Raw genomic sequence first — 27,256 nt, 5'->3', positions numbered from 1 at the left:
GGCCGAGGTGGGCGGATCACCTGAGGTAGGGAGTTTGAGACCAGCCTGACCAACATGGAGAAACCCCATCTCTACTAAAAATATGAAATTAGCTAGGTGTGGTGGCACATGCCTGTAATCCCAGCTACTCAGGAGGCTGAGGCAGGAGAATCACTTGAACCCAGGAGGCGGAGGTTGAAGTGAGCCGAGATCACGCCATTACACTCCAGCCTAGGCAATAAGAGGGAAACTCCGTCTCAAAAAAAAAAAAAAAAAGTTCCTTAATTCAGTCAATTTACATGAAATTTGGTAACAGGATGTTTCCATCCAGTTTTCTGGTTAAGAAAAAAAGTAAGGCCAGGGACGGTGGCTCACACCTGCAATCCCAGCACTTTGGGAGGCCAAGGTGGGCAGGAGTTCAAGACCAGCCTGACCAATATGGAGAAACCCCATCTCTACTAAAAATACAAAAATTGGGCCGGGCACGGTGGCTCCTGCCTGTAATCCCAGCACTTTGCGGGACCAAGGCAGGCGGATCACCCGAGGTTGGAGTTTGAGACCAGCCTGACCAACATGGAGAAACCTCGTCTCTACTAAAAATACAAAATTAGCTGGGCATGGTGGTGCATGCCTGTAATCCCAGCTACTCAGCGGGGCTAAGGCAGGAGAATCGCTTGAACCCGGGAGGCGGAGGTTGCTGTGTGCTGAGATTGCACCACTGCACTCTAGCCTGGGCAACAAGAGCGACAAACTCCGTTCCAAAAAAAAAAAAAAAAAGACCCAGGTCTTATTCTACCACTTACTAGCTGTATTACCTTGTACAAGTTTACTAATCCTCATAATTTCTTCTTCTATTTTTTTTGAGACGGGTCTCACTCTTGTTGGCCAGGCTGGGGTGCAGTGGCGTGATCACAGCTCATTGAAGCCTGAGATCACACTCAGATAATTTCTGTACTTTTTTGCTAGACACATGGTTTCACCATGGTGCCCAGGCTGGTCTCAAAGTCCTGGGCTCAAGCAATCCTCCTGCCTCAGCCTCCCAAAGTGCTGGGATTACAGGTGTGTACCACAGCACCTATCCCAAAAGTAATTTCATCTGCGATAAGGAGATAAAAATGCATATCCTAACAGAGTTAGATAATGCATGTTAACAATCTCTGAAATATAGTAACAAGCATTCAGTATAAGACAGCTTTAATTATTACTTACATTAGCCACCACTTTTACTTCTTTGTATTGTGCTTCATAGAAAATTCCAGCATTTTCCAGTGCTTCTGTTAATGAGGGTCCGTTTTTCACCTGCTTATCTAATCCATTCACAAATTCTTCCAGCTTGGAGCTTGCCTCTTCAAATTCTTTGGAGAACTTCTTCCCACCTGTTTTATCTAAAATGACATGGGAAATATTCATTTCAGGATAAAATAAAAAATAAAAAAATTTAGTCTTTTGACTTTTGAAGAAAACCTCTCTTTGTGAACATACTCTTGCTGCCTTACTGTGCAGTACTCTAATACTCTTAGTTTCTTTCTTTTTTTTTTTTTTTGAGACGGAGTCTCACTCTGTCGCCCAGGCTAGAGTGCAGTGGCGCGATCTCAGCTGACTGCAAGCTCCGCTTCCCGGGTTCACGCCACTCTCCTGCCTCAGCCTCCCGAGTGGCTGGGACTACAGGCGCCTGCCACCACGCCCAGCTAATTTTTTGTATTTTTAGCGGAGATGGGGTTTCACTGTGTTAGCCAGGATGGTCTCGAGCTCCTGACCTCGTGATCCGCCTGCCTGGGCCTCCCAAAGTGCTGGGATTACAGTTGTGAGCCACCGTGCCCGGCCTCACAATTTTATCTTAAACAAGTTTCTCCAAATCACAAAATCACAAAACAGATTATTAAAATTCTTTACAGAACAGACTCATGTGAACCTGCCAGAGTGAAGGCACTTGTAATTAAGGTAAAGAAAAGAAAGTTCAACTAAAAGAGTTTGTTGATTAATTATTTTCTTCACAAATTGGATTCCACACTGCTACTTACTTAGGAATAACAGAATGAAGCTCAACTGTATTCGCTTATACCATAACTTTTGCATTACAGAAGGTAGTAAGATGTTATCTCTTAAACGAGAAAAGTAACGTTCAGAAAAGTAAAAATAAAGTGACCTCTGTATGCATCACAATAAAAGTTCTTCTTTCCTATCTGAAAAAGATTCGTGATAATTCAGTATATCTACTTCTTTCCCAGTGACTGGCAGAATATGGCTTTGGATATGAGTATAAAGTTTGGCTTTGCCTCTTATCAGTTGTGTAACTTGGGTAAGCTACTAATCTCCTTACAAGACCTCAGATCTCTCATGTGATAAAATAGAGATTTTTAGTATGTTTTCTGTTATGAGGATTGAATTAGGTAATATATGTTAAATTGTTTGTTTTTAAAAAATTTTTCTTTAGAGACGGTCTCTTCTGTCACCCAGGCTGGAGTGCAGTGACATGATGAGAGTTCACTACAGCCTCCTGGGGTCAAACAATCTGCTTGCCTCAGCCTCCCAAGCAGCTAGGACTACAGGTGTGTGCCACCAAGCTCATTAATGTTTTAATTTTTTTGTAGAGACAGGGTCTCACTATGTTGCCCAGGCTAGTCTCAAACTCTTGGTCTCAAGCAGTCCTCCTGCCCTGGCTTCCCAAAGTGCTGAGATTACAGGCACTGTGTCTGGTCTGTTAAATTTAAAGTACGGCACAGGAATAAAATTGGTGCCAAAATTAATAGCTAGTAGTCATTTACTTATTATTTCAAAAATATTCATCAAATATCTATTATGTGCCAAGCATTGTTCTAGGTGCCAGGGTATAGCAATGAACAAATCAATATAATTTCTGCCTTCATGAGGCTTACATTATAATAAATTATTAGTATGATTTACAATTTACAATGCAAGGAAACTAGATGGTCTAACTAGATTTTATGAGGCATTAGAGTGACTTCATTAAAGAGCATACCCATACCAATTAACCATACATGTGAAATACAACTGTCTATATATAACCTAGTACACCAAGAAAGTACTAGAAATGAGAACAACAGAATTTACTTATGAAATTTATATGCATGAAATAACTACCTGGGAAACCAGAGGTGCCACAACTGCTTTCTACCCAAGGATCTCCTTATGAGGTAAACCAGTATGATTACTGGAAAAATGACACATATGGAAAGAAAATCTGACTTACTCTAAAAGGATGTAAGCATTACCTTTTAAGCATTTGAGAGTTTCTGTGCTGCACACATCCACCCTCATAGTTGACAACTGCTTTTCCTTCAGTTCTATCTGATCTTCTGAGCGCTTGTATAGCAACAGCTCTTCAATTAGGGCCTGAGACTAAACACAGACCAGAGTCATATTTCATTTACAAGATCATTCAATTATTCTCATTCTCTCTCTCCTCATTTTGTAAAACAAAACAAAACAAAACAAAACAAACACCCTAAAGCTTAACAAAACCCTGGGAGGAAAAAAACTTTTCACTTTTTCTCATGGTGACAGATATTAATGATCAATTATCATGTCAAAACCATGTTTAGTTATAGACTTCATTTATTTATTTATTTTTTGAAATGGAGTCTCGCTCTGTCGCCCAGGTTGGAGTGCAGTGGCACGATCTCGGCTCACTGCAAGCTCCGCCTCCCGGGTTCATGCCATTCTCCTGCCTCAGCCTCCTGAGTAGCTGGGACTACAGGCGCCCGCCACCACGCCCAGCTAATTTTTGTTTTTTTTTTTTTTAATTTTTAGTAGAGACGGGGTTTCACCGTATTAGCCAGGATGGTCTCGATCTCCTGACCTCGTGATCCGCCCACCTCGGCCTCCCAAAGTGCTGGGATTACAGGCGTGAGCCACCGCGCCCAGCCTAGTTACAGACTTTAAAAGATCCTTTTCCTTCATTACACAAAGCTAATTTATGGATACAGAATTAAGACTAAAACAGACAAAGGTCCATTTATATAGCCTCTCTAAATTTTAATTACATAAACATAGCCTTCTGTTATTCTAAGCAAATTCTAATTTAGAAAGAGTTTCACAGGAAAATAAACTCTCTTGCTGGCATAAATTGAATATGCAACTCAGCTGATAATAGATATACTGGAAGAAGGTTATTTCTACCATTAGGGGAACAGATAAAACGCCAAGCAATCTAATCCCAATCTGGGTTCCTTTAGAACAGTTCATGCATGTTTAAAACATGACATGTGTAATTGAATACAGATAAATCTTATTGGACTATACAGGAAACTATAATACAAAAGGGGTGAATAATACTTTGCTATATTAAACAAATTCTGTAACTTACTCGAAATTCAGCAACTATCTTAGACTTGAGAGCAGCTTTTGGATTTGTAGATGCTGTTGGAATTAAACAAAAGGTCATTAAGAATACAGACACAAAAAGTTGACTAACAGGAAAAATTTTAGCTCTATAGTTAAAGATATACTCTGAACATATGGCAAACATGCACATTTAAGTCATAATTCCTAAAATAAATAATGGACTAGGAAATTTAAACATTCCTAAATGTGGTCAATGTAAAAATACGCTATTTAGACAGACCTAACCTACTTACCTCCAACAGACCCTTCAGGTCATAAAGTCCTAGAATTATTGATTTGGAGACACCGAGATACATCAAGTACCTTTTTTTCCTAGTCTGGGTGTAACAGGATCTAAATACCTCAAATTAAGAGTGTTCAGGAACAGGACATCCAATTAATCCTGAGCACTGGCTGAAGAAAATTGGTGACAAATAACTCTATTCCTATAAATTTATCCTTTGAATTTCTTTTTCTGCTGACTCAATTCATAGCAAAAATAGGCAAGGAAACTTCTAGGTATATTAATACTGTGGTGGAACTTTGGCTGAAATGACGACTCCTGTTGTTCCTAAGCATGCAACTTATGACCAAGAAGATGTCTGAGGACTCCCTTAATCATGATGGATATCATATGCTCGCTGGAGCAAAACCATCCCAAGTATCTCGTTTCACCTCCCAATTCTCACTGTCTTTTACTTTGTTCCCTCCACACCTTCAAGTCTCTCTCAATATTCCTCAGTTTGCCCACAGCAGCCTATCACATGCAGTATTCCATTCCCTTGATCTCATGCTGGGTAAATACGATAAATATAACAGGAGCTCCCATTACAGAATGAGCTTCTGGCCAGGATCTGAGGTCCATGTCTAATTTGGTAGAGTATATCCCCCAAATCTGGAGATTTCATGGTTCCCACAGAAATGCTTCTTAATGCCTAGTCTCCTCTTCAGATCTGTTGTTTAATGCCAGCTGCCTCTAACATCATATATCCTTGAACCTGAAAATTATCCTGGACACTATCAAGTATTTTTTTCTTCTTGCAATCCCCCAACTACTCTTGAATCTTCACTCAATTAAACCCTTTTCTGCATTTCCTTTGTTTTAAAGTGTAGTTTTTGTTTGCTTTTTTTTTTTTTTTTAGAAGTATCTCCATGATGGCTTGTTTAGCATAGGTCACTGGGAGCCTCCCAGACCTGGAAAACAGGCTTGCCCATGGTTTATGCCAGGTACGATGTCAAATGGTCTACATTTTCTTCTGCTCCAAAAAGAGGAGGTAATTTTATATTAGTTGAGATTTTGTTCCTTACTTTGTGATTTCTTCCACTGCTTATTCGGTTGTTTGTTCAGATTTTCTTTCAGCTGCTTCTGAGTTTTGAAAGTGGTACCTGGAAAACATTTCAGTTTTTGCAATCTGGCATTATGGGAAGCTGTTCTGTCTGTCCACTTCAGTGCCAAAGTTGCAGCATGAAAAAAGGCAATCCGAGACTGTGTGTTGTTTCTTTCTTTCCTTTTCTTTCATTTTTATGAAAAAATAGAAATTCCTACCCGATCTAAGAAGCTGTCAAATAAACACGATTTTTATCATCAGCGAAATTACCAATTCTGAAAAGAATAGGGGAGGAGGCTTAAAAATACCAATTAACAAATTAAAATGAAGAATTTAACAGCTTCTTAGAAGATGCCATTTTTAAAGCAAATTTCTAGTAAAATGACGGTCATGGTAGCAGATTATCACAAACTTCTGTTCAATAACTTAATTACATGCATATAATACATAATTCCTTTTAACAAAACAGTACACCACTTACTGTAAATCTAAATCAAAAGACAGTCTAAAGACTGCTGATATATGCTTACTACCAAACAGCTTAGTAAGAACTGACACCCTGTGCAAAAATTCTCCAACAGTAAGGGCACAGGGCAGTATTTATTAACACAAACAATGAACCATTTGAAACACTCAACGCAAATGCAGGAAAATAACCAGATGGCTATTACCACTTAACATGCTTGACTTTTGTAGTCACTAAAAAACAAAATCCGACCCCATCCCTAAAACCAATTCTACTTACATTTTAATTCAAACAGATCTAGATTTTTCATAAATATTTAACTTTAAACAAATAGGGCTAGATTCAAAACTTAATTTTTCACTATTATACAACATGACCAGATCTATAAAATTATGTAATTGTAAAGACTGACTCAAAAATTTTCTTTTAGGAGAGAAAAAGACACTTACTCAAAGCTTCTCTCAATGCCACAATCATTTCTTCTGGGTATACATTTCTATCTTCCCAGATTTTAAAGATTCGTTCTACAGACTTAGAGACAGATGGATCCCTGAAAACAAAGAAAAAGTAATACAGACTATAAAAACCTTGACTTCTACTCCAAACTAGAAATCTGAAAATAAAGTTATCAATAAAATTATTTTCCAAATTTCTTCTGATGTTTATTTCAAAACCTTTTTTCTATAATATCCAGGACTAAAGAAATCTTAAACTTTAAGATTATTTTAACTTAAACTTAAAATAATTACCAATTCAACACTTTTGTAAATGACATAGATGAAGCTACAGATGACATACTGACAGCTTTGATGGATATGAACTTGAGAGGGCTGGGAATGTGCAGACACAACTGGCATTCTAAAACACAATTACACTAGTACTGAATGAGAAGACAAGGTTTAGCAATGCTGTATTTTTTCATTTTTTAAAGGTTTAGAAAAAATCATGAACCAATCACATACTGTAACATGTTTTCTAAAAAACTATTACATAATACTATGAGAATACATAGTAACAATGAGGGAAGTAAAGGGTATTGGTTTATTCTGTTTGGTTCACAGATGAGCTTCAGGTTCAAGTTGGCTACCTAACTTTAAACAATGTTGGCTGGGCACAGTGGCTCACGCCTGTAATCCCAGCGCTTTGGGAGGCCGAGGTGGATGGATTGCCTGAGGTCAGGAGTTCGAGACCAGTCTGGCCAATTGTGGGAGGCCGTAGTGGATGGATTGCCTGAGGTCAGGAGTTTGAGACCAGTCTGGCCAATTCTGGGAGGCCGAGGTGGGAAAATCACTTGAGCTTGGAAGTTTAAGACCAGCCTGAGAAACAGAGAGAGACCTTATCTCTACTAAAAATGAAAAAATTAGCCACATGTGGTGGCACACATTTGTAGTACCCGCTACATGGGAGTCTGAGGCAAGAGGATCTGTACTGTACTGACTGGTGATCACAACACTGCAACCCAGCCTGGGCCACAGAGCAAGACCTTGTCTCAAAAAAAAAAAGTGTTAAAGTAGAAGTGAATGAGAAATAATTACCAATAAAGTTAATAATTTAAGTAAAGATTTTAATTATGTCTTACGTGAAATGCAGAAGAAATAAAAAACAATGCAGGAAGGGCGTAACCATTGTCAGGGAGAGGAATCAAACTGGTGTGATCTCAGGAAGCAAAACAAGGACAAAAGTATGAAGCCGTAGAGAAAAGAAATTTTATTCTAGCAGATCTGCCAAAGAACAGAAACCATTCTAATAATTTCATAGATCTATCAAAAGACAAAACAGGAATGTAACCTCTCCTTAAGTGAATCCACCAAACCATATGGAGATTGAAGACAAAAAAAAAAAAAAGCTATGTCAAACTTAAGGCCTCTTTCAAGGATGAGAGCCTATGAATCCATAACATCATGTGTTCACAAAGAATTTTTTTCTTGCCTAAGAATGGCTTATGTAAGAAACAGAGAAAATTGTATTAAACCTTACAATTTTCTTTTTTTTTGAGACAGGGTCTCACTCAGTTGTCGAGGCTGAACTATGGTGGCATGATCTTGGCTCACTGCAGCCGCAGCCTCAGCCTCCTGGGCTCAAGCGATCCACCTGCGTGTGACATGCTTTATTGCAATATTTGCTTTATTGTGGTGGTTTGGAACTGAAATCTCAATATCTCTAAGGTATGCCTGACTATGTGTGTGACTGGTTTCAAATACAATACTAACATTTATAGAAGAAAAAGACTGTAAGATAGTAATGCTGAAATTGTTATCTTGTAAATCTCCATTTGGTGAAAGTGAGTGGATTTTTCTTTATACTTTTCACAATTTTCTGTGTTCTATAATGTTTAGATACGGCCGGGTGTGGTGGCTCATGCCTGTAATCGCAGCACTTTGGGAGGCCGAGGGAGGCGGATCACAAGGTCAAGAGATCGAGACCATCCTGGCCAACATGGTGAAACCCCGTCTCTACTAAAAATACAAAAATTAGCTGGGTGCGGTGGCACATGCCTGTAATCCCAGCTACTCGGGACGCTGAGGCAGGAGAATTGCTTGAACCAAGGAGTCGAAGGTTGCAGTGAGCTGAGATTGCGCCATTGCACTCCAGCCTGGAGACAGAGTGAGACTCCGTTTAAAAAAAAAAAAGTTTAGATATGTACTTACCATTGTTACAGCTGCCTATAGTATTCAATACAGTGACATGCAGTGCAGGTTTACAGCCAAAGAGCAATAGGCTACACAACATAGCTTCGGTTTTTAGTAGGCTATGCCATCTACGTTTATTTAAGTACACTCTAGGATGTTCAAAGGATAAAATTCCCTAATGACACATTTTTCAGAACATACTCTTTTTTTTTTGAAGACAGAGTCTTGCTCTGTCACCCAGGCTGGAGTGCAATGGTGCGATCTCGGCTCACTGCAACTTCCGCCTCCTGGGTTCAAACGATTTTCCTGCCTCCGCCTCCGGGGTAGCTGGGATTATAGGCGCCTGCCACCACGCCCAGCTAATTTTGTATTTTTTTTTAGTAGGGACGGGGTTTCACCATGTTGGTTAGGCTGGTCTTGAACTCCCGACCTCAAGTGATCTGCCCGCCTTGGCCTCCCAAAGTGCTGGGATTACAGGTGTGAGCCACCGCACCTGGCCTCAGAACATATTCTTGATGTTAAGCAACGCATGACTTTTTTTCTTTTCTTTTCTTGAGATGAGTCTTGCTCTGTCGCCCAGGCCGGAGTGCAGTGGCACCACCTCCGCTCACTGCAACCTCCGCCTCCCAAGTTCAAGCGATTCTTCTGCCTCAGCTTCCCAAGTGGCTGGGACTACAGGCCAGTGACACCATGCCCGGCTAATTTTTGTATATATATTTTTTTAGTTGAGATGGGGTTTCACCGTATTGGCCAGGCTGGTCTCAAACTCCTGACCTCATGATCTGCCTGCCTCGGCCTCCCAAAGTGCTGGGGTTACAGGCGTGAGCCACGGTTCCTGGCTCAACTTTTTTTTTTTTTTTTTTTTAAATAATGACAGAAAGAATCTCAGCATAAAAAATATAAGAAGTGACAACAGAGTCTGTTCTTTCTGGTTAATAAACCTCTAGAAAATTGTAAAGTTTAGGCTGGGCACGGTGGCTCACGCCTGCAGTTCTAGCACTTTGGAAGGCTGAAGCTGGCGGATCACCTGAGCCCAGGAGTTTGAGACCAGCCTGGGCAACGTGGCGAAACCCCATCTCTGCAAAAAATACAAAAACTTGCCAGATGTGGTGGGGCACACCTGTAGTCCCAGCCACTTGGAGGGCTGAGGTGGGGGAATCGGTTGAGACCAGGGGTTCGAGTCTGCAGTGAGCCCTGACAACACCACTGCACTCCAGCTTGAGTGACAGAGTAAGACTCTGTCTCTAAAAACAAACCAATAAATTTTTAAAAAGTTACATTTACACTATACTATAGTCAATTAAGTGTGCAATAGCATTATGTATTAAAAACAATATCCATATGTTAGTTAAAAAAATACTTTATAGCTAAAAAACTCTTAACAATCATCTGAGTCTCCAGCAAATCATATTCTTTTTGCTGGTGGAGGGTCTTGCCTTGATGATGACTGATCATGGTAGCTGGGACTGCAGGCATGCACCACCACACCCAGCTAATATTTGTATTTTTAGTAGAGACAAGGTTTCACCATGTTGGCCAGGATGGTCTCGATCTCTTGACCTCGTGATCTGCCTGCCTTGGCCTCCAAAGTGTTGGGATTACAGGTGTTAAAAGCCACCATGCCTGGCCTTAATGTTGATATTTTGACCTCTCCCTATGAATCACAAATGTTCTTCATGCCATCTAGAATGGTGAATCCTTTCCAGAAGGTTTTCAATTTCCTTTGCCCAGATCCATAAAAGGAATCATTATTAGCGGCAACTATAGCCTTACAAAATGTCTTTCTTTCTTTTTTTAATAATAGAGACTACGTCTCGCAATGTTGCCCAGGCTGATCTCAAACTCCTGAGCTCTAGAGATCTTCCCATCTCGGACTTCCAAAGTGCTGGGATAACAGGCGTGTGCCACCGTGCCCAGCCTGTATTTTTTCTTTTTATTTGAGACGGAGTTTTGCTCGTTGCCCAGGCTGGAGTGCAATGGCGCGATCTCAGCTCACTGCGACCTCTGCCTCCTGGGTTCAAGCAATTGTCCTGCCTCGGCTTCCTGAGTGGCTGGTATTACAGGCGTGTGCCACCATGCCTGGCTAATTTTTATTTTTAGTAGAGACGGGGTTTCACCATGTTGGCCAGGCTGGTCTTGAACTCCTGACCTCAAGTGATCCATCCACTAGCCTTGGCCTCCCAAAGTGCTGGGATTACAGGTGTGAGCCACCATGCCCAGCCCTGTATTTCTTTTTTTTTAATTGAGACGGAGTCTTGCTCTGTTGCCCAGGCTGGAGTGCAGTGGCGATCTTGGCTCACTGCAAGCTCCACCTCCAGGGTTCACCCCATTCTCCTGCCTCAGCCTCCGGAGTAGCTGGGACTACAGACGCCTGCCACCACGCCCAGCTAATTTTTTGTATTTTTAGTAGAGACGGGGTTTCACGGTGTTAGCCAGGATGGTCTCGATCTCCCGACCTCGTGATCTGCCTGCCTCGGCCTCCCAAAGTGCTGGGATTACAGGCATGAGCCACCATGCCCGGCCGGTTTGTATTTCTTAAACAACAAGAATTGAAAGGTCAAATTACTCCTTTAACCATGGGCAGAATAAATGTTGTGTTAGCAAGCAAGAAAATAACATCAATCTCCTTATACATCAGAGCTCTTGGGTGACTGGGTGCATTGTCAATGAACAGTAATATTTTGTAAAGAATCTGTGTTTTTTTTTTTTTTTCCCTGAACAAGAGCAGGTCTCAACATTGGGCTTGAAATATTCAGCAAACCACACTGTAAACAGATGTGCTGTCACCTGGGCTTTGCTGTTCCATCTACAGAGCACAGACAGAATAGATTTAGCATAATTTTTAACAGCCCTAGGATTTTCAGAATTGTATATGAACAGTGGCTTCAACTCAAAGTTGCCAGACAGCTGTATTAGCTCCTAACAAGAGAGTCAGCCTGTGCTTTGAAGCAAGGACTGACTTCCTTCTAGCTATGAGAGTCCTACATGGCATCTTCCAACAGAAGGCTGTTTCATCTACCTTGAAAATCTGCTGATTACTGGAGCCACCTTCATGAGTGATCCTAGCTGAAGCTCTGGACAACTTGCTGCTGCTTCTACATCAGCACTTGCTGCTTCATCTTACACTTTTGTGTTATAGAGATGACTTCTTTCCTTAAATCTCATGAACCTATTTCCACAGCTTCCTCACCTCTCTCAACCTTCATAGAATTGAGGAGAGTTAGGGCCTTGCTCTGGATTAGGCTTTGGCTTTATGTTGTATCTGGCTTGATCTTCTATCCAGGCCACTAACTTTCTCCATATTAGCAATAAAGCTATTTTGCTTTCTTATCATTCATGTGTTCACTACAGTAGCATTTTTAATTTCCTACAAGAACTTTGCATTCACAACCTGGCTAACTGGTGCAAGAGGCCTAGCTTTCAGCCTATCTTGGCTTTCAACATGCCTTACTCACTAAGCTTAATCTTTTCTAGTTTTTTATTTAAAGCAAAAGATGTGTGACTCTTCCTTTCACTTGAACACTGAGAGGCCACTGTAGGGCTATTAATTGTTCTAATTTCGATATTGTGGTGTCTCAGGGAATAAGGAGGTCCCAGGAGATAGAAAGAGATGGGGAATGGTGGGTTAGTGCAATCAGAAAACACACGACATTTATCAATTAAGTTCACGGTCTTACATGGACGAAGTTAGGAATATGTAAAAACAATTATAATAGTAACATCGCTGATCACAGATCACCATAACAGATACAATAAAAATTTGAAATGTTGCAAATATTACCAAAATGTGACACAGAGACATGAATGAGCATATGTTGGAAAAATAGCACCAATAGGCACAGGGTTGCTACAAACCTTCAGTTTCTAAAAACAACCACATTACCTGCAATGCACAATGAAACAAAGTATGCCCTCTCTTCACACAAAAAAAATTCTATTCTGTTATTTTCACTTAACAAACATTTCCCCATGTTCCAATCAACTCTTTATAACTATTCCTTTCTTTCTTTTTTATTTCTATTTTTGGAGATAGGGTCTCACTCTGTCACCCAGACTGGAGTGCAGTGGCGTGATCCTGGCTCACTGCAACCTCCACCTCCCAGGCTCAAGTGATTCTTCTGCCTCAGCCTCCCGAGTAGCTAGGATTACAGATGCACACCACTACCACCTGGCTAATTTTTGTATTTTTGGTAGAGACAGGGTTTCACCACGTTGTCCAGGCTGGTCTTGAACTCCTGACCTCAAATGATCCACCCGCCTCGGCCTCCCAAAGTGTTGGGATTACAGGTGTAAGCCACAGGGCCCAGCCCTAAACATTACTTTTAATGACTACACAATACTCCATTAGTATTTATAAATTTATACTTAACGTTCCTAAACTTTATTCATAAGAGTTTCTCATATTTTCTGTTAAGGCTGTTCTTAAATATCTAAGAACAGCTTTAACTGTTCTTAAAATTCTTAAAAACTGTTTACATATATATATACATAGACAGTCTTGCTCTGCCGCCCAGGCTGGAGGGCAGTTGCACGATCTCAACTCATTGCAACCTCCGCCTCCCAGGCTCAAGCAATTTTCTTGCCTCAGCCTCCCCAGCAGCTGGGATTACAAGGCATACACCACCATGCCCAGCTAATTTTTGTATTTTTTGGTAGAGACAGGTTTTGCCACGTTGGCCAGGCTGGTCTTGAACTCCTGGCCTCAAGTGATCTGCTCGCCTCAGCCTCCCAAAGTGCTGGGATTACAGGCATGAGCCACCATGCCTGGCCAGATATTTCATGTATTTTACTGCTAGCATGACTCACCATCCTTATTGCTAACTTCTCAGAGTAAAACTCACTTATTAAGTCTATTGATGGTTCAGTGCTTCTTCTTGGTTAAAAAACAAATTATATGCCTCTGTGTGTGTGTGTGTGTATACACACTATATATACATACATATGTACATATACACATAATATAACTATATATAACATTATGTATATATAACATATATATAACATATTATGTATATTATATTACATATATTATACATATTATATATATTGCTAACTTCCCAGTGTAAAACTTATTTAGAAGTTTGGTGATGGTTCAGTGCTTCTTGGTTAAAAAAAAAACTATGGTAATCCCAGCACTTTGGGAGGCCGAGGCGGGCGGATCACGAGGTCTGCAGATTGAGACCATCCTGGCTAACACTGTGAAACCCCATCTCTACTAAAAATACAAAAAATTAGCTGGGCGTTGTGGCGGGCGCCTGTAGTCCCAGCTACTCGGGAGGCTGAGGCAGGAGAATGGCATGAACCTGGAAGGAGGAGCTTGCAGTGAGCTGAGATTGCGCCACTGCACTCCAGCCTGGGTGACAGAGCGAGACTCCGTCTCAAAAAAAAAAAAAAAAAAAAAAATTATGTCTGTGTGTGTGTGTGTGTATATATAGTATATATATATTATATATTATATATACAGACAGAGAGAGAGAGGGTCTGTCTGTTGATGGTAAATTTCTGTTTTTGTTTCTGTCTTTATGTTTTCCTGGTTCTTGAAAGTAGTTTTGCTTTGTATGCAAATCTACACTGACAGCTACTTTCTATCAATGCTATAAAAATATTTTTCACAACTGCCTCTGGCTTCCACTGCCGCTGCTGAGAAGTCTGTCATCAGTTTAATTGTAGTCCTTTTTAAAAATTTAAAAAAATTTTTATGGGTACATAGTAGGTATGTATCTTTTGGGGGTACATGAGATATGTTGATATAGTGTGTAATAATGACATCAGAGTATATAATAGGGTAGCCATCACCTCAAACATATATCATTTCTTTGTGTTACAATCATTCCAATTATACTTTTCCCCCAACCCCCTCACCTTGAGACAGGGTCTCACTCTGGTCCCCCAGGCTGGCGTACAGTGGTGCAATCTCGGCTCACTGCAGCCTTAATCTCCCAGGCTTAGGTGATCCTCCCACCTCAGCCTCCTGAGTAGCTGGGACTATAAACACATGCCACCACACCTGGCTAAATTTCATGTTTTTTTAGAGACGGAATCTCACCATGTTGCCCAGGCTGGTTGCAGACTCCTTGGCTCAGGCAATCCTCCCACCTCAGCCTCCCAACTTGTCAGGATTACACGTGTGAGCCACCATGCGCAGCTCCAATTATTACTCTTTAATTGTAGTCCTTTTATACTGATCTTTTTTTTTTTTGGCTTTTTTTTTTTTATCATTTTCTTATTGTGATTAAATATATGTAACATAAAGTGTGCCATTTCAGCCATTAAATGTACAATTCAGTGGCAGTAACTACATTCACAATGTTGTGCAATTCTCACTACTATTTCCAAAATTTTTCACTACCTCCCTTAGACCTCATCACCTCCCAAAGGCTCCACCTCTTAATACTACCACATTAAGGACTAGGTTTCAACATATGAATTTCGGGGGGACATAAATATTCAGACTACAGTACTCTGTACCAATAACTCCCCCTTATCTCTTTTTCCCAGCTCCTGATAACCTTTAATCTCTCTCTATGGACCTAACAATTCTAGGTATTTTGATAAATGTAATCATACAATATTTGTCCTTTTGTGTCTGGCTTATTTCAGCATGTTTTCATGGTTCAACCATTTTGTAGCATTTATCAGACTTTTCTTTCTTTTTTTTTTTTTTTTTAAGATTTAGGGTCTTGTTCCATCACCCAGAAGAAAGTGTAATGTCATTCCTTTTTTAAGGAAAATTGTGGTAAAATACACGTAAAATTTACCACCTTAACCATTTTTTTAGTGTACAGTTCAAAAGTTAAGTACATTCACACTGTTGTGCAACCAAACTCCAAAACTTTATTTTCCCAAATTGGTATACTATATCCACTAAACAATAACTCCCAATTCTCCCCTTTCTCCAGCAACCATGATTCTACTTCCTGTCTCTGAATTTGACTACTGAAGGTGACTGATGTAAGTGGCATCATATAATACTTGTCTTTTTGTGACAGGCGTGTTTCACTTAGCATAATGTCATCAAAGTTCACCCATGCTGCGGCATGTATTAGAATTTCCTTCCTTTTTGGCCGGGCGCAGTGGCTCACGCCTGTAATCCCAGCACTTTGGGAGGCTGACATGGGTGGGTCACCTAAGGTCAGGAGTTCAAGACCAGCCTGACCAACATGGTGAACCCCTGTCTCTACTAAAAATACAAAAATTAGCTGGGTATGGTGGCGCGCGCCTGTAATCCCAGCTACTCAGAAGGCTGAGGCAGGAGAATTGCTTGAACCCGGGAAGCGGAAGTTGCAGCGAGCCGAGATTGTGCTGTTGAACTCCAGCCAGGGCAACAAGGACAAAACCCCGTCTCAAAAAAAAAAAAAAAAAAAAAAAATCCTTCCTTTTTAAGACTGAATAATATTCCATGTTTGTATACATCACACTGTTTATCCATTCATCCACTGACAAACATGTAGACTGTTCTTCCTTTTGACTACTGTGAATAATGCTGCTATGAACATGCCTATACAAATATCTGTTTAAGTCTCTGTTTCCATTTCTTTTGGGGTATATATCTAGAGGTAGAACTGCTGGATCATGTGGTAATTCTATGTTTAATTTTTGAGGAACCACCAAACTGTTTTCCACAGCAACTGCACCATTTTACATTACTACAAGAAATGTAAATGGGTTCCAATTTTTCCACATCCTCTCTAAGCCTTGTCATTTTCTAGTTGTTTGTTTGTTTTGAATTATAGTTACCCTAGTAGATGTAAACTCTGGATGCTTTTAAAACTGCTTGTTTTATAATTTCATTACAATAACTAGGTATAAAATTTTTATTTATGCTATTTAGTATATGTTATTGCTTCCTTTATCTTAGATTCATATTTTTCATCACTTTTAGGGTGTTCTCAGCCCGTGTTATCTTTTTTTTTTTGAGATGGAGTTTCGCTCTTGTTGGCCAAGCTGGAGTGCAACGGCGCGATCTCAGCTCACCGCAACCTCCACCTCTCGGTTCAAGCGATTTTCCCGCCTCAGTCTCCCGAGTAGCTGGATTACAGGCATGCGCCACCAGGTCCGGCTAATTTTGTATTTTTAGTAGAGACGGGGTTTCTCCATGTTGGTCAGGCTGGTCTCGAACTCCCAACCTCAGGTGATCCGCCTGCCCCAGCCTCCCAAAGTGCTGGGATGACAGGCGTGAGCCACCACGCCCAGCCAGACAGTGTTATCTTCTAAAGAACTCAAAAGTTCTCTCCTTTTGTACAGAATCTCCCAGGCTCAAATGATCCTCCCGCCTCAGCCTCCTGAGTAGCTGGGACTGTAAGTACACACCACCACACCTGCCTAATTTGTATTTTTTTTATAGAAATGAGGTCCCACTGTTGCCCAGGCTGGTCTTGAACTCCTGGGCTCAAGTGATTCTCCCACTTTGGCCTCACATGATGGGATTATAGGTGTGAGCCACCACGGCTGGCCTTCATTTTTCATTTTCCCCACTCCTTATTTCTCCTGTTGCATTCTGATGTCTTCAGAACTACATTCTTGCGTATTCTCTTTCAAGAGTTCCTATAGATTATTTTTTTCCATCTGTCCAAATATCTTACCTGTTGTTCATTTTGTTATTCCATTTAATCTTCCTCTAACATTTCATATACATTACTCTACACATTCTGTCTGATAATTCCAATCTCTGAAACTCATTTGGGAAGGAACTAAATCGATGGATTGTCAATTGTGGTGGTCTGTTTTTCTGTGTGTTCAGAGATCTTTCACTGTGAGCACGTTTGTTTTTAACCTATGGGATTCCTTGTGGCCTAAACAGAAAATGTGTTCATATAGAACAACTATATCTCAGAAGCCAGGGGGAGCTAATTACACAAGAGCACATTTGCCCTTCTCCAGAGCCTAGTTTAAATGCCAAAATCACATAGTATTAATGTTATCGGCATGCTGGTTAATGTTAGCTTTGCCATTCTAATACATCCACTGTTTTTGGTTCTGCTTAAGTTTTGTCAAGGATGTAGTTATTTTATAACAAAATGACTCCTTGGAATAGATGGTTGACTATTCTGCCAGAAGTCAAATCATAATTATATACAAACAACTGTTTCTTCAACTAGACTACAGAACTTCTTCAAAACAGTGATTATAACTTATTTGTTGTTGTTTCTTTGCTGTTACTAAATAGTAGCTGAATGAATGACAACAGGATATTATCATTTTCTTTTTTTGAGAAAGGCCTCGTAGTTTGGTAGGTCGAGGTGGGAGGATCGCTTGAGGCTAGGAGTTCGAGACCAGCCTGGGCAACATGGTGAAACCTTGCCTTTACAAAAAATACAGAAATTAGCCAGGTATGGTTGTGCGTGCCTGTAGTCTCAGCTATCTGGGGAGCTGAGGTAGGAGGACTGCTTGAAACCCAGAGGTCAAGGCTGCAGTGAGCCGTGATCGTGCCACTGTACTCCAGCCTGAGAGGTTAAAAAGCCACTACTGGCTGGGTGTGGTGGCTCACACCTGTAATCCTAACACTTTGGGATCAACTGAGGTTGGGAGTTCGAGACCAGCCTGACCAACATGGAGAAACCCCGTCTCTACTAAAAATACAAAATTAGTCAGGCGTGGTGGCGCATGCCTGTAATCCCAGCTACTTGGGAGATTGAGGCAGGAGAATCGCTTGAACCCGGGAAGCAAAGGTTGTGGTGAGCTGAGATCGCACCACTGCACTCCAACCTGGGCAACAAGAGCAAAACTCCATTAAAAAAAAAAAAAAAGCCACTACTGACCACAATGTCAATTTTCACAGAATTTACAATCACCACAAACCATGTAACATGCTTAGTTACATAACCTTTTCTTCTTTGATTTTTAAGTTAAAAAAAAAATTGGCTGACCTTGTAGAACTGCTAGGATGTTCAACAGCGACCTTATAGAATTGCTAGGATGTTCAACAGATGCTTTCTTTGCTAATGACACCCCCCCTTACTCTTATAACAGGAAGGTACTAGCAAATTATTTTAAAGGGGAAAGTTGATAAAGTACAAGAGGAGGTGTCCAGATGTCACAGTTACATAAAACTAAACACCACAATCTTGTACCTCACTCAGAGGGGTCTCTTTCCTTTATCAATACCTCATTACTGGGAAGTCATCAGAATAATGTGCTGTCTTACAGGTCCTTAGTAACATTTGCTAATTGTCTGAATAAAAGACTAAGTAATGGGTTGACTCAGGCCAGGTAGCACACACCCCTAGTGCCAGCTACTTGGGAGGCTGACGCATGAGAATAGCTCGAGACAGGGAAAGGGAGGGAGGAAGGATCACCTCAAGAGAGAGGCAGTCAATACTTAGTCAAAAACCCTTGAAGCTGAAAAACAGTGAATGAGGATAGATTTTTTTTTTTTTTTTTTTTTTTTTGAGACAGAGTCTCACTCTATCACCCAGGCTGGAGTGCAGTGGCGTGCAATCTCGGCTCACTGCAACCTCCGCCTCCCAGGTTCAAGCGATTCTCCTGCCTCAGCCTCCCGAGTAGCTGGGATTACAGGCGCCCGCCACCACACCCAGCTAATTTTTTGTATTTTTAGTAGAGACAGGGTTTCACCATGTTGGTCAGGCTGGTCTCGAACTCCTGACTTCAGGTGATCCACCCACCTCGGCCTCCCAAAGTGCTGGGAGCCACCACGCCCGGCGAGGATAGATTTTCATTCTAAAAATTCAAAAATTTGCCACTCTGTATCTCCTAACATAATTCCCATTCATATAACTTAGTCTACGACAAATATCTTCCGTAATGTACCACTTTAGTTTTATGTTATCTTTTGTAATGCAGAAGTTTAATTTTTATGTAATCAAACTCAAAAATTTTTATTAGTTTTTTGTGTCTTAAGAGCCTTTATTCCCTATAATCATAAAAATATTTATATTTTCTTCAAATATTTTAAAGTTTTGTTTTACACACCAAAGTAATTCACTTGGAATATATTTCTGTGTACAGTGTAGGAAATCATTTAACTTTATTTTTTCTATACAGAAAGTGTTATACCCCAGAATCCTTTACTAAAGAGTTCATATTTGGGACAGAGACTCGCTATGTCACCCAGGCTAGAGTGCAATAGCATGATTATGGCTCACTGCAGCCTTGACCTCCTGGGCTCAAGAGATCCTCCCGCCTCAGCCTCCTGAGTAGCTGGAAACACAGGCACGCGCCACCATATCCAGCTAATTTTTGTATTTATTGTAGGGATGGGGTCTTGCCATGTTGCTTAGGTTGGTCTCAAACTCCTGGGTTCAAGCAATCCACCCACCTTGGCCTCCCAATGTATTGGGATTACAAGTGTGAGCCACCACGCCACACCCAGTTACCTTAACATTTTCTTTTCTTTTCTTTTTTTTTTTTTTTGAGATAGAGTCTCGCTCTGTTGCCCAGGCTGGAGTGCAGTGGGGCAATCTCGGCTCACTGCAATCTCTGCCTCCTGGGTTCAAGCAATTCTCCTGCCTTAGCTTCCCAAGTAGCTAGGACTACAGGCACGCGCTACCACGCTCAGCTACTTTTTGTATTTTTAGTAGAGATGGGGTTTGACCATGTTGGCCAGGATGGTCTCGATCTCCGGACCTCAAGTGATCCACCCGCCTCGGTCTCCCAAGGTGCTGGGATTACAGGCGTGAGCCACAGCACCCGGCCTTTTCTTTGTTTTTCTTTTTTAAAACTTTTTATTTATTTATTTATTGAGACTCAGTCTCACTGTATCACCCAAGCTGGAGTGCAGTGGCGTGATCTCAGGTCACTGTAACCTCCACTTCCCGGGTTCAAGTGATTCTCCTGCCTCAGCCTCCCAAGAAGCTGGAACTACAGGCGCATGCCACCATGCCCGGCTAATTTTTGTATTTTTAGTAGAGACAGGGTTTCACTATGTTGGCCAGGCTGATCTTGAACTCCTGACCTCATGATCCACTCGCCTTGGCCTCCCAAAGTGCTGGGATTACAGGCGCGAGCCATAGCACCCGGCCTATCTTAACCATTTTCAAGTGTACAATTAAATGGCATTAAGTACATTCGTATTGTGCAACCATCACCACCATCCATATCTCCAGAACTCTTCCCATCCTGCAAAACTGAAACTCTATACCCATTGAACAATAACTCCCCATTCCCTGCCCCCTACCCCAGTCCCTGGCAAACACTATTCTATTCTCTCTTACAATGAATTTGACATTGAAAGTACCTCACTGTGTATTTGTTTTAAATTTAATTAGTTTCTGCTCTTATTTTATTATATCCTTCCTTTCTTGGGCTTATTTTGCTCTTCTTTTAAAACTTCTTGAGATGGATACTTAGCTCACCGATTTTTAGAGCATTTTCATGTTCCTTTATAATGCTTTACATATATTAGCCTATTTAATCCTCACAGCATCCCTAAGAGACAAACTGTACTATTATTCACATTTTACAGATGGGAAAACTGAAGCACGAGAAAGTTAAATAAACTACTCTACCAAGTAAGAGATCCAGGATTTAAACCCAGGCAACCTTGCAAGTTTGACTCCAAACCTTGCATTTTTAACCTCTAAGCTCTGCTGCTTCCCAAGGAGGAAGAGCTACTCCATGAAGAAAAATTCATAAGCACTTATATTAAGATACACAGTATGAGCGTTTGGCTAGAGCAATGTCTCATTACTGGGATTCAGGAGAGCTGGTGGTAAGGATGGGAAGACTGAGATTTGACTGTAGAAGGCTTTAAGTGGCATCCCTTTTTTTGTTTGTTTGTTTGTTTGAGACAGGGTCTCACTCTGTCGCTCAAGGCAGAGTGCAGTGACACCACCACAGCTCACTGTAGCCTTCACCACTCAGGCTCAAGCGATCCTCCTGCTTCAGCCTTCCAAGTAGCTTGGACCACAGGCATATGCCACCACACCCAGTTAATTTAGTAGAGATGAGGTCTCCCTATGTTGCCCAGGGTGGTCTCACACTCCTGGGCTTAGGTGATACTGCTGCCTTGGCCTCCCAAAGTGCTGGGATTATAGGCATGAGCCACCACACCCAGCCCTCTCTTACTTTTTAATGTTCAGTTTCCTATCTCCAAGTAGATTTATATGATTTATTTTATCATCAGTATCCTCATCTGTAAAATGAGGATAATAATCTTTGCCCCTAATTATATCATATATTTGATTTGAGAATCAAAGAAGATAATAAAGATGGAAGGAAATTTATTTTTCTTTTTTTTTTTTGAGACGGAGTTTTGTTCTTGTTGCCCAGGCTGGAGTGCAATGATGCAATCTCGGCACATTGCAACCTCTGCTTCCCAGGTTCAAGCAATTCTCCTGCCTCAGCCTCCCGAGTAGCTGGGATTATAGGTATGCGCCACCACGCCTGGCTAATTTTGTATTTTTAGTAGAGACAGGGTTTCTCCATGTTGGTCAGGCTGGTCTCAAACTCCTGACCTCAGGTGATCCACCTGCCTCGGCCTCCCAAAGTCCTGGGATTACAGGCGTGAGCCACCTCACCCGGCCAGAAATTTCTTAAATCATAAAGCAATATAAAAATATATTTTAAAGGTTTTCAGAGTATGCCTTGCTAATATTAATTTGTTAATAATAATAATGGCAGTAGTAGGCACAGTCATCTTCCTCATCATAGCAGCAGCTAATATTTATTGTTTATTAAATGTCAGTTACTGTTCTAAGCCCTTTATATATATTATTAACTCTTTAGTTTCCACACTTTATGAAGTATGTACTATTACTGGATTCATTATACAGACGAGAAACTAATTTTATTTATCTAAAGTTATAGAGTTATGAGGTGACAGAGCCAGAATTCAAATCTATGCACACTGGTTCCAGAGACTATGGTCTTAAACCATTGTATCTCTAGACATCTGTGTGTATGTAGTCTGAAGTGAATGAAAAAGGTAACACAAACCGGGAAACTAGTTAGCAGGCTATAATATTAATATAAATATATCAAACAGAGCAACAATAACAGAAAATTGAAAGGCAGAGAGAAAAGGAGGAAGAAACTTTAACAGAAGAATCAGTCCCTGGTAAATGACTAAGAAATAAGAAAGAAAAATTAAAGATTACTAAGGTGCTGTTATAAAATAAAAAATTGTAAGTTAGATTAGGAGGGCTATTTGGCAGAACAGAAATAATAGAGGACTGAGAGTCAGAAAAATCTGGGTTCTAGTCCCAGGACTTTTACTAAATTGTCATTTTCCTTTGGGTGGTATCTTAACTGCTCTGGACTTCAGTTTTTCTCATTTTGTAGAAAGAAATAATAAAATCTGGGCCGCGTGCGGTAGCTCATGCCTGTAATCCCAGCACTTCAGGAGGTCAAGGCAGGCGGATCATGAGGTCAGGAGTTCAAGACCAGCCTGACCAACATGGTGAAACCCTGTCTCTACTAAAAATACAAAAATTAGCTGGGCATGGTGGCGCTCGCCTGTAATCCCAGCTTCTCAAGGCTGAGGCAGGAGAATCGCTTGAACCCAGGAAGCGGAGGTTGCAGTGAGCCGAGATCGTGCCGCTGCACTCCAGCCTGGGCGACGGAGTGAGACTCCATCTCAAATAAAAAGAAAAAAAAAATAGAAATAATAAAATCCAATCTGCTTATCTGCAAAGTTAGTTACCATTTATATAGCAATTTTCAATTTATATTGAACATATTTTCACATAAATTGAAACTGTAGGAGTAGGACTTCACACAAAGTAAGGCATGTTAGTGTTTCAGGCATTCTGAACTGAATATGGACATATAACATTTAAGTAGAAATTCTCAACTGGCCGGGTGCTGTGGCTCACACCTGTAATCCCAGCACTCTGGGAGGCCGAGGCGGGTGGATCACCTGAGGTCAGGAGTTTGAGATCAGACTGACCAACATGGAGAAACCCCGTCTCTACTGAAAGTACAAAATTAGCCAGGCGTGGTGGCGCATGCCTGTAATCCCAGCCTCTCAGGAGGCTGAGGCAGGAGAACTGCTTGAACCCAGGAGGCGGAGGTTGCAGTGAGCTGAGATCGCGCTACTGCACTCCAGCCTGGGCAATAAGAGCGAAACTCTGTCTCAAAAAAAAAAAAAAAAATTTGTTTTCAGATTTCGGAATATTTGCATTATCCTTACTGGCTGAGTATCTCTAATTTGAAATCCAAGATGCTCCAATGAGCATTTTCTGTGTGCATCATGTTGGTGCTCAAAAAGCTCCAGATTTTGGAGCATTTTGCATTTCAAATTTTCAGATTATGGGTATTTAACTGGTACCAAGCTCATTATTTCCTCAAAATCTGTCATGACACCTTTTCCCAAAAAAGATCATGCATATAATTCTCTATACACCCTTAAGAGTCAATAAAATCACATTAAGCTCTTATATAACAACTAGCATAAATTCATTTTTCAGTTCAATTAAAGATGAAAATGTATAAGCACAAATAATTGCCTTTTACGAAAACCTGGGATAGGGACAGGATTTTGGAAAGCACTACCCACATTAAAGATATACCTACTCTTACACCATCCTGACACAATACAAGCAAACCCTCAGTTCTTAAAGGGATTCTTCTATAATCTATATATAACTTATTGAAGTCGTTGCTGGTTGCAGAGTAGTCCACAGTTTCCCAAGTGTAACTCAACTCTGACATTCATAGACACTTTTCCTGTGCTTCAAATTAGTGTTTCAACTATTCCGGTCTCATGGTGATGTATATTCAGATAAACTGGCATTTCTGTCCCTTAGCTAGGACCTCTAGGACACAAATGGCAAATACCAGGTTGGTTTAACTTTCATTTTTACCCCTCCCTCTCACATACATATTTTCTTACAATAATAACTAGTATATCTAAAATACAATCTCCAGGTTTCCAGCCCATGGAATTTCCAACCTGTGATGGAAAAGATAAACTGAAATTTAATAAAAAGAACTGAAATAACTGGATAAGTACTGGAGAAAATAGTTTCCCAACTTATCTGAAAGTCCTACTTTCCCTTATTTGGGCACCTCTTTTAACATGTGGCCGTGAGTCCACCCCATACCAATTTTTAATCAAGTGAAATCAATAAACACCTTAAAGGCATTCAAGGAATAAAATTAATGTCCCTAATAAGTTGCCCATGGTTCAATATGATCATCAAATGTGTTTTGTCAGCAATATTATTTTTTAAATCTGACAATGTCACACATATAAAAATGGTGTGACTTCATATAAAAATCCACATTTCTGTCCTGGTTTAAAAGCGAGAAAAGTTTGGCAGCATATGTTAATGTTGGGCTCATATTTCTTCATGGCCATCAGCCTAGGACTGAGTAACTGCTGTCCCTATTAAGTGAATTTTTTCTCACACTCAACCTACTTCACTCATCTATATTACCTGCCAGGAACTTCTAGACATTTGCCCCCCTTGAATTAAAGGAATCAAAATAGCCTTAAGAGAAAAAAATTCAGAAAAGGAATCAGTGTATAGTAGTATTGTGAATAAGAGTTTTATTTTTTTATTTTAATTTTATTTATTATTATTATTATTATTATTATTATTTTGAGACAGAGTCTTGCTCTGTCACCCAGGCTGTAGTGGCATGATCTCGGCTCACTGCAAGCTCTGCTTCCCGGGTTCATGCCATTCTCCTGCCTCAGCCTCCTGACTAGCTGGAACTACAGGCGCCCGCCACCACACCTGGCTAATTTTGTGTGTGTGTGTGTGTATGTGTGTTTTTAGTAGAGACGGGGTTTCACTGTGTTAGTCAGGAAGGATGGTCTCGATCTCCTGACCCTGTGATCCACCCTCCTTGGCCTCCCAAAGTGCTGGGATTACAGGTGTGAGTTTTAAAAGGGGAAGTGGTGGTTAGGATGGGGCTGTTTAAGGAATACTTAAGTTCTGTATTTGTTTATTTAAGAGATAGCGTCTTGCTCTGTCACCCAGGCTGGAGTGTGGAGTGCCATGGTATGATTATAATTCACTTCAGTCTTGAATTCCTGGACTCAAGAGATCCTCCTGCCTTGGCCTCCTGGTAGCTAGGACTACAGGCACATGCCACCACACCTGGCTAATTTTTAATTTTTTTTGTAGAGACAGGGTCTCGCTATATTGCCCAGGCTGGTCTCAAACTCCTGGCCTCAAGTGATCCTCCCACTTCAGCCTCCTAAAAGTGCAAGGATTACAGGTGTGAGAACCATCACACCTGGCATTAAGCTCTTATTTTAATATCCTCTGATTTACCATATACTTTATAATTTATTTATTTATAAGCAAGAGTATATTCTGTTTCACTAATACAATCTTCTATTCCTGCTTCCATTATTGTTTTAAGATATATTTGATAACCGGTAGGGAATTTTAACCTTACTTTTCTTAAAAAAAATTACCTTGGATATTTATCCTTCCACAGGAAATCCTACTGAGATTTTGACTGGGATTACAGAGTATAAATAACATATTAGGAAATAAATGTATTTTTAACAATACCAAATCTTTTCCTTCAAAAAACCCTATATATCTTCATTTATCCAGATCTTCTTTAATATCCTTTAAATTTTTGAAATTTTATAAAAGCCTCACATACTTCTAATATTTATTCTTGGGTGGGGTTTTTCTTTTATTTTTTGTCTTGCAAGATAAATCTTTCTTCCTAATTACAGTTTAAAATAAGTTGCTGCTGGCATACATAGGAAAGCTACTGATTTTGTATGTTCAACTTGAATCTGGCTATTTAGCTGAGTTATCTTATTAGTTGATCATCATGACTTTCTATGTAGGCTAAGGGCTGGCAAATTATGAACCTCAGACCAAATCTGGCCTGCTGCCTATTCTTATTGGAAGATAGCCATACCCATTTGTTTCTGTACTGTTTGGTGCTTTCATGCTAGAATGGCATTGTTAAGGAGCTGTGACAGAGACACTATGGCTCAAAAAGCCTAAACTACTTAACTATCGACCCTTTACAGAAAAGGGTTGCCCCCCTGATGTAGATAATTATATTACCTGCAAGTAATGACAATTCTGTCTCTTCTAAATGCATTTTATTTATTAATTCATTCCTTTTTTCTTTTTCTTGAGACGGGGTCTTGCTGTGTTGCCCAGGCTAGAGGGCAGAGGCATGATCTCAACTCACTGCAACCTCCACCTCCCAGGTTCAAGCGATTCTTGTGCCTCAGCCTCCCGAGTAGCTGGGATTACAGGTGTGCACCACCACATCCAGCTACTTTTTGTACTTTTACTACAGATGGGGTTTCACCATGTTGGCCAGGCTGGTCTTGAACTGCTCACCTCAAGTGATCTGCCTGCCTCGGCCTCCCAAAGTGCTGGGATTATAGGCATGAGCCACTGCACCTGACCTATCTATTCATTCATTCATTTCTAAATAAATGGAACCTCCAGCATAATGATCAATAGTAATGATAATGAAGGACTTCTGTCTTGGAATGCTTTGTTTCATCATTACGTATCATGTTTACTACAGGTTTCTGAAGACATGTTTCACTGAGTTAAAACATTCTTGGGGGCTTAAGGTTTTAACTTAAGAACTGTACTTTATTCCGAGATTAT

The 27,256-nt window shown here is 40.6% G+C and overlaps 1 protein-coding gene across 16 annotated transcripts in view; it reads right to left on the bottom strand.

Moving 5' to 3' along the window:
* Positions 1 to 27,256, bottom strand: part of RPRD2 (regulation of nuclear pre-mRNA domain containing 2) — a 112,420-nt gene that overhangs the window by 28,977 nt on the left and 56,187 nt on the right. For 9 of the 16 annotated variants that reach the window (NM_001387124.1, NM_001387123.1, NM_001387122.1 and 6 more), the window contains 5 exons: positions 6,567 to 6,667; positions 5,632 to 5,709; positions 4,307 to 4,359; positions 3,213 to 3,339; positions 1,189 to 1,364 (listed from right to left, as the gene is read on the bottom strand). In NM_001387124.1, coding sequence (NP_001374053.1) covers positions 1,189 to 1,364; positions 3,213 to 3,339; positions 4,307 to 4,359; positions 5,632 to 5,709; positions 6,567 to 6,594 — 462 coding nt within the window. In that variant the 5' untranslated portion in view covers positions 6,595 to 6,667. Of the gene's footprint in view, positions 1 to 1,188; positions 1,365 to 3,212; positions 3,340 to 4,306; positions 4,360 to 5,631; positions 5,883 to 6,566; positions 6,668 to 27,256 lie in introns of all 16 variants that reach the window. The other 7 variants (NM_001297674.2, NM_001297673.2, NM_001387115.1 and 4 more) reach the window with 2 other exon arrangements.

This window comes from Homo sapiens, chromosome 1, assembly GCF_000001405.40.
Source record: "Homo sapiens chromosome 1, GRCh38.p14 Primary Assembly".
NCBI classification, from domain to species: domain Eukaryota; kingdom Metazoa; phylum Chordata; class Mammalia; order Primates; family Hominidae; genus Homo; species Homo sapiens.
The sequence above is the reverse complement of the archived record's forward strand: the minus strand, read 5'-3'. Positions and strand labels throughout refer to the sequence as shown.